At 42.7% G+C, this 13,219-nt stretch overlaps 1 protein-coding gene across 7 annotated transcripts in view; it reads left to right on the top strand.

Moving 5' to 3' along the window:
• PAPPA2 (pappalysin 2) overlaps positions 1-13,219 on the top strand; it is a 382,427-nt gene that overhangs the window by 224,498 nt on the left and 144,710 nt on the right. For 6 of the 7 annotated variants that reach the window (XM_047427180.1, XM_017002024.2, XM_017002023.2 and 3 more), the window contains 4 exons: positions 2,465-2,758; positions 4,454-4,646; positions 8,066-8,187; positions 11,428-11,917. In XM_047427180.1, the coding sequence (XP_047283136.1) occupies positions 2,465-2,758; positions 4,454-4,646; positions 8,066-8,187; positions 11,428-11,917 (1,099 nt within the window). Of the gene's footprint in view, positions 1-2,464; positions 3,534-4,453; positions 4,647-8,065; positions 8,188-11,427; positions 11,918-13,219 lie in introns of those variants that run through there. The other variant, NM_021936.3, reaches the window with a different exon arrangement.

The following is a 13,219-nucleotide window of genomic DNA, read 5'->3' on the forward strand; positions in this document are numbered from 1 at the left end:
ATAGGATGTGGGGATATTTGATGTTTGCTCAGAGCTGAAATGTATGAGTAGAAGGTAACTATTGATTGGAACTTTTTTTTTTTCATCTTTGGTAGTGTTTGTTGGATTGTGCTCTGAGACATCTGGTACTCCAGAGATATCAAAAGATATTCTACCCCGGACAGGTTCTGTGTTCAAATAAGTTTGTAAAGCAAAGGGTAAAACTCAATTGATGAAGGACTTTTCGGGGCCTTTAATACAACAACTCACTCTCATATACATTATGGATTTTCAGGAGGGTAGTATGGTGTGCTGCATTTTCCTCAAGCATATTTAACCACAGATGCCACTTGTTTTTTAAAAGTATTACCCAGGTTCAGATTTTATGAACACAATTTGGGAAAAAAACTAATCAATTTAGATACTTAAACTTTATAGGTGAATTGTGTAGCCTTTCCAAATCCTATTTCTGAAGATTAGTTTTATTTAAGCCAAAACTTACTTAGAAGTGGTGGGAAAGAAAGGAAAGAGTAGACAGAAAAGGGATTAAACATATGTACAGAGTAGAAGTGTGGTGGAGGAAAAAGGATGAAAAAGGTGAAGGCACCTGGAAAGAACAGAAAGCTGTTCTCTTAGAATTATATCCACTGATGTGAAGGTTGATACTGCCGTTAGAGGACTGGAGGCATAATTGTACATGAATGTTGGTGATGATTATTGCTGCCATTGGATATGTAAACATGAAGTGTGGGCCTCTTGGAAAGTGGAAATACTGTGTTTCTCCAGGTTTATTCAAATAACAGGCACTCTTGAAACACCTGTTTTCAAGTTAGCTTAACGTTATGTTGACATCATGATGCACAAATGAAATAAATATTCAGAAAATAACCTTATAACAAAAGAGAAATAAAAAAGGATAAGTTTAGAGAATAACAATTTTACCATAAGTAGTAGAAATAATAAACACGGGAGGTGAGGTCTAGTTTCACCTGGGATGTGAAAGGAGACACTGCATCTTAGATGAGTCTGGGCATGGCTTGGGTAATGTCAGTATGTTCGAGTAAACTGGGAGACTGGAACTTGGACTTAGAAACTGTCCTGTGTAGTACAGTAGTCACAAGAAAGTCAACTGAGCTGCCTATTAGATAGGCCAGTGGGTGTAGCGCCAGATACCCTGTGATTGTCTCCTGCCCATAAGGCTGTGTATGTGGTTGTCTAAGGGATGTTGAATGGAGGCAGGAATAGGATATAGTCCTTGGAATATAATCTGGCAAGAGAAAGGCAGAGCTATTCTCCTGGAGGACCTGCTATACTCAGAAGACTATTGATATAGGGAGGGCTCAGGTGCAAGAAGTGAAGCAAGTCCTGGGAACTGGGATCAGACCTGTGAAAGAAGGGCAGGGCCAGCTGGGCAGCACAGCCAGGGGTGACCTTGGACCCCAGAGGGTTGATCCAGGGATGTTGACATTCTCTGTCTTGTCTTTCAGAGATAAGACTGGGCCTGGCCCTGACAATTTTGGGGTGTAAACAAGGAAAGCTAGGTGGTTCAACCATGGGAGAGGAGGAAAGCAGGAATTAGGATTCCAACAAGCTACACAGATAGAAGTTGGGTCACTTAGAGATCCTTAGCCTTCCTTTTGTAAGGTTCCAATGATACCACTAAGTCTCTCATCTAAGCCTGATTGGATGCAATGAACTCTTCTCTGAAACACCTCCCTTTGTGTTCTCATGGAGATTTAGGGGCAGTGAGGGTGGGGCATATTCTCATGGTGATTGTGACATTCTCAATTTTGTGGTAGTTCAGTTGAACCTATCTTTTGTCTGACTAGTTGTTGAGAGTAGGGATTATTAAATCAGAAGCAGTCTACACAGCTGTCATTTCCTTTAATGTGCCAAACACTGAAAAACAAACAAACAAATTTTAGTGTTATCATCCCCACTTTACAGACAACAAAACTGAGTTCCAGGAGGTAAGACGGCTGTTCAAGTCCTCAAAGCTGGGATGTGGAGGGGCAGGAGTTAGATCAGATTTCCTTGACTCCAAATCCCATGGGCTTTTGCCTAGACCAGTGATTCTCAACCTAGGAAGTTTTTAAAAATGTCGTTTTGTGAACCTCATCCTCAAAGGTTTGGATTCAATTCATCTGGGGTAGTATTTGAACCCCTGTATGTCTTCTTTTAACTCTCCCAGGTGATTTTAATATGCATACAGGGCTGAGAATTCTGGCTCTCTATTATGTCAACATTGCTATCCTGGGCCTCTAGTATAACACTCACCCATGTAGAGGATAAAGAAATGTGTATTAATTTGTTTAGAGGGTTTCTGTGGCAAGAAAGAAAAGCAATGACTGTATGTTACCAGAAGTTATAAAGTGACTCCTTAGAGGCTGAAATGGAATATTTGATGTTTATCAGAAAACATAATTAAGGATTGGAGAGCTATTCATTCTGTGCTCTGAAAGGCTTTTCAAAACTTTCATTGCAGGTGGCATTGTCCTCAGCCCAGCATATTATGGGATGCCTGGCCACACCGACACCATGATCCATGAAGTGGGACATGTTCTGGGACTCTACCATGTCTTTAAAGGAGTCAGTGAAAGAGAATCCTGCAATGACCCCTGCAAGGAGACAGTGCCATCCATGGAAACGGGAGACCTCTGTGCCGACACCGCCCCCACTCCCAAGAGTGAGCTGTGCCGGGAACCAGAGCCCACTAGTGACACCTGTGGCTTCACTCGCTTCCCAGGGGCTCCGTTCACCAACTACATGAGCTACACGGGTATCACCACTGTCTTGTTTTGTTTTCTGTTAAGAATACATGGGGGCCTTTGAGAGCTGGGAGGGTGGAGGTGTGGGAGCTGATGGGAGAATGATTAAGTGGTCATTTGTGTCGGAGAGTTGAAGTGTATTTATTATAAGGTATTATTATTTTTTCATGTCTTTGAAGAACTTGAAGAAATACTGACATATTAAGGTACTTTGTTCACTGAATTCTCCTCTACTAGATATTTTAAAATATACTTCTATCCTCGATAGTAAAAAAGGCACAGAGCCAAAAGCCCTCTTGTGATCCCCTTGACTTCTAGAATGTGGTTATTCTTATTTTTGCCCGCATTCTTAGACATTTACTCTGAAGAAGAGTCCAATGGAAATAAAGGAAAAGAGTTTATGGGTCAAGGTGGCCCATTGTACTGTTTTTGAAGTTGGTCAACAAGGTGGCTTGGTTAATTTAGGCTCAGCATGTTTTACTGTATGTTACTAAAAAAAAAAAAAAAAAAAATCAGATTCTCTTTTTCCAGCACTAGTCAAGCACAAATTCTTAGCTGCCTACCACCCTTTCCCCACCAAAAGGTGACATCTAATTTTAAAAAAATGGCATCTTCCTGGCCCTCGGAAAAACTTGTCATCTGGTCTTTCTTGCCTTAATTCAGCTTCTGTATTATTCTTCGCTGTCTCTCACGCCTTCCTTGTTTCTTGTGAAAAGTAATAGTGACTGGTTTCCTATAATGGACTCAAAGTTATCCCTAAAATTAAAGACTTATTTGATGACCTAGTACAATGGTGAAAGAAGATATTTTTTCTATAAGTTTTGGGGGCTTGTTTGGTGACAGGTTCTTCTAGAACTATCCAAAAAAGAATAAACCACCACACCCTGGTCATGACTTTGAAGGGAGGAAAGCGTGATGAGCCGATTCTGTCTGTCATCTTTCAAGATGTGTCTATCTGAGTTTCATTGCGGTGAATAATTCAGGTGCATCAGATGTGTAAGCACCAGCACCTCTCCCCCATCAAGGGGCAGAAACACCAGACGATGCCATGCAGAGGGCAGAGCTCTGGAGGCAGCACCTTTGAAGCGGGAAGAGGAAACATTTAGGAAGCTGAGTGAGGCAGTATTTGACTGGTGTGCTTTCACTAGAAAAGTTCCTGGCACTAAGAAAACTCCCTTTCCAACCCTATGCAAAATGTACCTGCTAAAGAGACCTTGCCAGATTCAAAAGTGAGGCTGAGACCACCATTCCCAGCCCTGCTGTCTCATTGGCATTTGGCTCTCTTTCCCCTTGAGCAGCTCCACTGAATACTCACTAACCTCTGCCAACGTCACTGGGCAATAAAGCAGGTGTCTGAAACTCCACAAACGTTCACAAGTGAAAAGGCCATCTGTTGAAACACTGCCATCTTGTGGTTTGCTGAATAAGCAACCATCAGCTCAGAGCAACCTGAGCTGCCCAACTTTAAGGTCATGACCTTGCTTTAGATATGAAAGTGCTGCATCTCTGGTCTCTGTCTTCTCTTACCCTTTCCAGCTTAGACCCTTTCTGGAACAGATTGCATTTGTTCATTCATTCAACAAGTAAGTGCTCATTGAGCCTAATAAGTTAACTCAGCCATGAACAAGACACAAATTTATCCCTGCCTTGGTGGACTTGATGGGTTAAAATCTCCATCTCTTGTGCCACCTTTTTTGTCTCCACAGATGATAACTGCACTGACAACTTCACTCCTAACCAAGTGGCCCGAATGCATTGCTATTTGGACCTAGTCTATCAGCAGTGGACTGAAAGCAGAAAGCCCACCCCCATCCCCATTCCACCTATGGTCATCGGACAGACCAACAAGTCCCTCACTATCCACTGGCTGCCTCCTATTAGTGGAGTTGTATATGACAGGTGAGAGAGGCACTGGCTGTGGGTGAGCTGGCTTATTTCTCTGTGGCATTTCATATGAATGAGGGGAAGAATATGAATCCAGGGGAACTCCAATTTGGAAGTATAAATGTGTGCACCACTGCTCAGAGCTGCTGCTCCAGCCTGCTCTGTTCTCGTTGCTTTAGCAGAACTCATGGGCTCTCTTGTGAGCCAGTGGCTCATCTTAAGTGCTCACTCCCCCCTCAGGGAGGCCTGGAGAGCCTGACCGATGTGACAGGGATAAATTGGCAGAACGGAGAGGGCATCTGCCATTTGTCTCTGTCAGCTGTTCCTCTGTGGCATGAGGGTGGAGTGGCAGCTTGCCACTTGCAGAGTGGTGTTGGGGGAGGGATTACAGCATGCTTCTCCAGGCACTTCTGGGTGTGGGTGGATGGTAGTGTGCCCACTGCCACAAGCTGTGCATCAGAGGGCTTCCCTGACTTACGTAGGTGCTTCTGACACCTTCTCAGCCTCCTGTGCCTCCCCCTCTTAAGGCCACTATCTTATGGAATTGTCATCCTCTGCTTATTTTCCTACCTGCCCCACTTGACTGGCAACTACTGGGGGAGGCAGGATGATTTTTTGTCTCTTTGTCTCTTGCCCTGCCACAACAGACACCTAATGTGTGTTTGCTGAAGAAAAGCATTACACCTAAAACTAACTTTCATTTGTCCTTTGCATATTGGTTTGAAAGAATAACAGATAAATTTTTGTAGAAAGGAGAGAAAGGTAGGAAAATGAATGACATCTGATAATTGGTGAGGGATGGGAGAATGTGGTTTCACTGAGAAGGACCAGAACCCCTTCTGTGACCTGTGCAGACTGACCTCTTTCAAAACCTACTGCTGTATTCTGAATGACGACAGTCCCTGATCTATTTGTGGCACTATATGTGAAGTGTTGTGCTAGGTATTTTACTTGCACTTGTCTTATTTAGTCTTTGCAGTAAACGCAGTTCCTGCTAAATAAGTGAGAATTCTGAGGCATAGAGAAACATACAATGGCAAACCCAAGACCCCACAACTGATTGGAGGTGAACTCGGGAGTCCAGTGGAAATTCGGGAATAAGGAACATAGAATGGATGCTTTCTTTTAATTTAGAGCATTCTTATTTAGCACATCTCTTCTTTGCACCACACTTTCCCTCTGGGTGTCAGGCCTCAGCTAAAGAGAAGGGTGTCGCTGGAGCAAGTTTCCGTGCCCTTCAGCTTTGCTGAAAGCCTAGGGAGAGAGGCAAGAGAGAGACAGGGATAGGAGGAAGCTGGTGAATCCTCTTTCACAGTGGTATTTCAGCCTCTTGGGATTTTGATACCTGTCCCTGATACCTTGATACATACTTAGTGTGTGACACCACTTAGACCTCACAACCCTACAAAGTAGTTTCATGGTCATCAGCGCCCAAACCCTTTTGGGCTCTGTTTGTGAGTCAGCACACATCTGTGTGATGTGTGTGAGAATCATCTTCCTGCAAGTGTGACCTTGTGCAGCTTTGGTCGAACTGCCTGAACAGCAAGTCCTCTGTGGGTGTGTGCAAACCAGAGTTTTACATCCGTTTATGTAACACATGTAAACAATTTAATCTTTGAATTCTCTCTCTGGTACAAACGTTACGATAAAGCAGACATCAGTACGGGCGTGCTGAGAGTCTGTTGGCAGAAAAACCTGCAGTTTGCTTCCTTTTCTCAGCTAGGTGGACTGCAGTTTTGAGACCTCCCAACATGTGTGTCAGGGGGACTCACGTCACATGGCCAGCAATTTGTGTCATGCTTGGAGTTGTGTTTACTCCACCCCAGCAGGTATTTGGAACCCTTATGTCAGAGAAGAGCCCCAGCTACGCACTTAGCAGCAGCCACGGAAGGGCCAAGTGCATCAGAGGAATGAGCTTTGGAGTTTTGTTCATGTTAGAAGTGAGTGCTGATTGGAGTCAGAGGTTGGATCTTAACTACACCTTTTAGTTTCCAAAGTACTGGACGCTCAATGGTGTTTGGGAACTTGCTCAAAGGAATTAAGGAACTTGTTGTGACCTTAGGCAATTTACTTAACCTCTCTGAGCCTGAGTTTTCTCATTTGTAAACATAAGGTTATTACAGGAATTAGAAATCATTTATGAAAAGCACGACACAGCGGCACAATGCCAGTTATGTGAGGTACTTCAGAAATGGGAGCAGCTGTCATAATCACTACCTTTATTTTATAATACTATTTTTCTGGCATATTACAAGATGTTATTGAGACCCTGACTTGATGCCTCCGTTTTCAGATGCGTCATTCACAAGTGGGCTTCTAAAAAGATTCTAAGCATCAGAGGCAAGCCCCTTGAAGTGACTTACCATTATTATGTAGCTATTATTGTGTCTACCTCTTCCAGTTACCTCAGTTATAGTACTTGTAGAACTTTCATAAACTGTATTAATCACGTCATGGATATCCATAAAACAAGCATTCACAGAGGGACTGCTGGGTCCAATCCTGTTGGAAATATAAATCAGAATAGAGCTTGGTCTGGACTGGCTCACAGGCAAAAGAGAGGAAAGAATGTGAATGGAAATTCTCAACACCGCATAGCAGAGCCCTAAGAGAGGATCCAGCAGGTGCAGTGGGTGCACAGAGAAGGGAGTACTGGTCACTCAGAGGAGAGAGGCTAAGTGCTACTGCAGAGTTTACATTTGAATGGTTCTTGATGGGTAAGTAGGAGTTTGCTAAACAGAGAAGCTTGGAAAGGCTGTTTGGCAGCAGAGAGAACAGCTCAAAGGCATGATGTATTTGTGGAATGGTGATCTGTTCATTGCGCTGGAAATATAAATCTCAGAAAGGAACTGCAGTAGGTGAGGCTGGAGCTAGCTTGTGAAGGGCCTTGAGACGTGATAAATAATTTGGATATATCTCCAAGGGCAATGGTGAGCCAAGAGACATTACATTTCACCTGACTTTTATTTTATGTAAGTGATTTAAAGTAGGGAGCTTAAAACATAAGGACACATATGGCTAATAAGTTTATGTGGGAAATTATTGCCTGTTTTAGTGGGGAAATTCAAGGAGCCTTTGAATGACTTGAGAGTCAATGTAGAAGGGAGTTTTATGTTGAAAGATTCAGATTTTAATTGTTTGTTGTTTACTGTTCCTAGGACAGAAAATGCCCACTTTCATCTCCACAGGCCTCTTTTATGACTTAGTTAATTTTTTCTGCTTCATGATCTTGAAATTTTCATGTCACTGAATTTTGCAAAGATGAGGTCCACACAAGAAAAAACGATTGAGATACAGTTGTTCTTAGTTACTCTCTAGGTCCTTACTAACCATCAACCCCTGCCCTCCCCACACAAAGGTCTTTCTAATTTTCTTATCCCAACTCATCTGATGGACTCTCCTCATCTCCCATCTCCATCCCTTTATCTCCCCAGGGCCTCAGGCAGCTTGTGTGGCGCTTGCACTGAAGATGGGACCTTTCGTCAGTATGTGCACACAGCTTCCTCCCGGCGGGTGTGTGACTCCTCAGGTTATTGGACCCCAGAGGAGGCTGTGGGTAAAGTACCATGACATTTTTTCTTTATACCCTGGTGACCACTGAGGATGGGGGTGGAGGTAAAGAGTGGAGTAGTGACATGGTGACAAAAAGGCAATGTATGTGTATGTGTGTGTGTGTGTGTGTGTGTGTGTGTGTGTGTGTGTGTTTTGCTGGATATCTTTTGGAGCTGCCTGGTGCCGCTGTGTGCAGAATGTTCCATATGTGCCTAACATGGAGGCCCCATGGCTGTGGTAAAGCAGAGACCAGCATATAGGACAGAAGGATGGAGAAGTCAGCTGAACTCAGGGTGTGACTTCAGGGTGAGATAGCTGGGAGGTGTAGTGTTACGTGTGCCTACTGGTCCTTGGAGTAGCCGTGCCATGTGACAGTGTAAGCTGACCTCTTACTCCTCTGCATCAGGAAACACACCGCAGAGAACACTCATGCAATGGCTGAGCAAGTCTGGGTGGGGGTGGGGGGACCGCAGAGAAAACTCATGTACTGGCTGAGCAAGTCTGGGTGGGGGTGGGGAGACCAGGTGTTCCACACTGACTGTTCTCGTCTATGCTATTTTATGAGTCTATTAATCACTGGTACTGGTTGTGCTTTGGATATGATCTGAGCTAGGCTCCAGGAAGGGGAAAATATTTTTTGTTATCTTTTTTTCTGTACCTCCCCTAACTTTTCAAACAGTCACACATTCACTCACATATGTATATTAATGCGCCTAAGACAAATTAAAGCATGAATCTTTTTCCAGTTCAAGTCAGAAAATACTGTTGACAGGATTTTAGCACCTCCTGATGAATGGCTTGACTTCTTCCATCATCATCATCTTTAATGTTTACCTAATTATCATCTTTTTTCTTTGCCTTTAAAATATTTATTAAGACACTAGAAACAATTAAATAAGATGTGTTGGCCAAAGCCCTATTTGAATTAATCTGCAGTCTTGATTGTGACACGAAAAAAAAGGAGAATATTGGTCTGAGAGTCTGCAGTATCTGCAAGATATCATCCTGGGCTCCCAGTCACTCAAGTGACAGGGCTTCAGGGATAAATCTGGAAGGAGACAATTTACTTGATTGATTGTATATGACTTTTTTCAAGTGAGAATTTTCAGGGAAGAATGGAAAGTGAGTATAAAATTTACTGCATTGGACTCTAAACAGAGATTTGCATTTCATAAAGGGCCATTTTGTGTGTGTGTGGCAGTCTGTCCTGTGCTGGTGTTTTAATGCCTGTTTGATTCCCTGACCTGGTATTTTTTTCCTTTTTATTTCTAGGGGGAAAAATCAGTTATCTGAGAGAGGTAAAAGGAATTAGAAGTTCTACGTTCTAATTCTTGTATTGTGTCTTAAGGCAAACCAAATCAACTTTTAGGGCTTCCATTTCATGCTTTAACATGAAGTCATAATAAAAACTTTTTGACTGGCAGTGCTGATGTTAGGTTGATTTCCAAGGACCTTTATGCTGCTAGTATTGGGGGCTTAATAATAATTATCAGACAAAATGAGAAGTTTTTGGGACTGTTAACATTGGACTTCACAAGCATTAATTTATAAATCATTAATGAACTAAGTATATATGATTAATAAGAAATACTAGTCTTTGCTTTGAAAAGGTGAAGAACCAGGTCATATTTAAAATATACACTATAAGAGTAATCTCTAACAGAGCAGGCACAAACACATGTATTTATAAATAGGTCTAATGAACACTGCTTAACCACCAACTATTTTCTAAATGCTATGGGGATTAGAAAACTAAAACAGACATATTCCCTGCTTAAACATCATCTTCATGGTGAGAATTTTCTGGCTTCATAACCTAAAATAGCTCCCAGCCTCACCTCATAATCCTGTATTCCCTTATGTTCCTCCACTTGTCTTCACAGATATCATTACTACTTAATATTATACTTTATATTCTTTTATGTATTTATTGTTACATCTATCACTTTACTGTAACATATAGAAAGGCAAGACTTTGTCTCTCTTGTTCACTCCTCTATCTCTAATACCTAGATTAGTTCTTGGTGTAAAAGAACTACACTACCAATTTTTGTTGAATTAATGAATCAACTCATAATAAATGAATCAACACACAATATAGGCAAAAAACAATAAAAACCATAAGATGTAACACACCACACACACACAGTTGCACACACATATTTTTGAAATTAATAATATGTGTTTCTATTTCCTGCCTGCAGTTTTTCCCTGCAGCTACCTCCCTACTCACACATACCTGCACTGAAAGGGAAATTGCAATGTTTGAACTGGTTTTCTCTGGGCTTTGGGACATAATTTATTTTCCAAATTTTGAAGGGCTAAATACTTCTACTTTGGTAAATGTAGGTATTTAATTTCTCTAGAACATTGTATAGATCTACACTGCCCTAGTAAGGCGGGGCTAAACATTATCACTTATTTTGTAAAAGAGGAAACTGAGGCATAGAAAGATGTGCCACAGCCACTCAGCTAAGGACACAGGAGGGCTGACTCTGCTAGTTCTCGATTCAACACTCTCTCTTCAACTCCCATCACACGACAGAAAAGAAAACCATTTGGGTAGATTACTTCCATGGAGCTGACTTTCATAGATTCGTGATATTTGATTTTTTATCATTACATTTTTATTTGGCTACTGAATCTTCATTTTTTTTCCCACTCCATAATATGTGTTTATATTTCCTGCCTGCAGTTACCTACCTGCTTACACATACCTGAACTGAAAGGGAAATTTCAATGTATGGTTTTAAAGTTCGTCTAACCATCAGTTGAAAGGATTGCCAGGGTGGGATCTTAGGGAATGAAAGAAGTTTTGGGAAAAGCCCTACAAAGATTGCAGTGACAGAGTGAAATCACTGGTCTTCAGAAGCATTAATTTATCATAAGTTATGAATGGACTAATCACATGTAATTCTCTGCTCAAGGATTGTTTAAGGACATGACTTCTCTGCATCAGCCTCATGTTTCCACCTAGGATCTGGGTTGCTCCCTTCCCAATTCCTGGTGGGTTTCCTCTTGCTAAGGGCACCATGTACAGGGATGGGGTAACAAGAGTGTAATGCTTTTTACTTTTACACCTTTGTTCTTACTAGTACTTAAGATCTAACCTGCTAAGATGACCAACTTCTACAGGAATTCTAAAAGTTCTCTCCATAGTTCCTCTTTCTGGCTGCTAAGGGCTACTCATTTTCTGACTTTTAATGGCTGCTACTGATGTATCTTTCTGCTAATCTCCCCCCAGGGCCTCCTGATGTGGATCAGCCCTGCGAGCCAAGCTTACAGGCCTGGAGCCCTGAGGTCCACCTGTACCACATGAACATGACGGTCCCCTGCCCCACAGAAGGCTGTAGCTTGGAGCTGCTCTTCCAACACCCGGTCCAAGCCGACACCCTCACCCTGTGGGTCACTTCCTTCTTCATGGAGTCCTCGCAGGTCCTCTTTGACACAGAGATCTTGCTGGAAAACAAGGAGTCAGTGCACCTGGGCCCCTTAGACACTTTCTGTGACATCCCACTCACCATCAAACTGCACGTGGATGGGAAGGTGTCGGGGGTGAAAGTCTACACCTTTGATGAGAGGATAGAGATTGATGCAGCACTCCTGACTTCTCAGCCCCACAGTCCCTTGTGCTCTGGCTGCAGGCCTGTGAGGTACCAGGTTCTCCGCGATCCCCCATTTGCCAGTGGTTTGCCCGTGGTGGTGACACATTCTCACAGGAAGTTCACGGACGTGTGAGTTTGGTAGCATGACTATGGGGCTTCCTGAGGCTCTGGGGGTGGGTTTTGTTACTTTTCCCCCACTTTTTAATATTCAGCCATGCCCTTAGTCGGAGGAATGTTTAGACTTTCAGAGGGGATTTTACCGTAAAGTGGCATATCTGAGGTAAAGAAAAGCACTTCCCAGAAAGGGGCAAGCAGGTGTCTGATTGCTGATGCCATCATCATGATTATGGACAAAAGGTTAGTGTATGAGATGTTTCAGTTGAACTGAACATAATTGCTACAAATAAGTTGATCAGAATCAGATACTCCTGTCTGGTGACAATTTAATTTCTGATTCTTTGCTTTAGCTGTCTGATCATCTGCCACAGACCCCATAACATTTATAAGGTATAGTCAATTCTTCTATTGCTATGCAAGGAGGCCGAGGGCCTGGCAGACCAGACGATACACTCAGTTCCATGACTCATTCATGATATGAGTTTCATTCTTTCCCCTTCTCTCATTTTCCCCCCTCACACCCCAATAACCAACTCTCTTTTATCTTTCTCTTCCAGCTCTCCTCTTCCTGTTAGTTCTGTCTTTTCTTCCTACATTTAGTGAGTTCTACTATGTTCCTGGCACTGCATGTTCAGTGCTGGGGGCACAGACTAAGATGAGGTCCTTACTTACAAAGAATTCAATATCTGGAGCAGGAGGCTGGTACTCCAAAGGCAAATTCTCTTGACCTCATAACCTTCTTTGGAGACTGCCCTGAGGGCAGAACTAGGGCAAAACAAAGTTTTATCAGAGATACTGTCAGTTAGTTTTTGCTGCATTAGAAATCATCACAAAAGGTAGTGGGTTAAAACAACAAACATTATTTCTCATGATTCTATAGGTAGGTTGGGTGCTCTCATCTAGACTTACTTGGCTAGCACCAGATGGCCCGGGATGACTTCCCACACAGCTGAGACAGCTGGCATGGCTGGGGAGATGAGGGCCTCTTTCCTCATGGTCTCTCAAGGCCTGGCCTGGGCTTTTCATGGTAGTGGAAGGGTTTCCAGCAGCAGAGAGGGCAAGCCCCAAATGCTTACACTTTTCAAATCTTTGCTTTATGTTATTCATGATAATGTTCCACTAGCCAAAGCAAGTCACACAGCAATTTTAGACTCAATGGGTGGCGAAATAAACCCTCCCTTTTGATGAAAGAGGCAGCAAAGTCACATGATAGAGGGGAACATTGGGGACAGGGTAGTCATTTGGCAGTCTACCATAGCTACAGAAAAAGTAGAGAAAAATGTCCACCTTGAGCTTCATTACATTTTTCTTCCC

Source organism: Homo sapiens, chromosome 1, assembly GCF_000001405.40.
Source record: "Homo sapiens chromosome 1, GRCh38.p14 Primary Assembly".
NCBI lineage: Eukaryota > Metazoa > Chordata > Mammalia > Primates > Hominidae > Homo > Homo sapiens.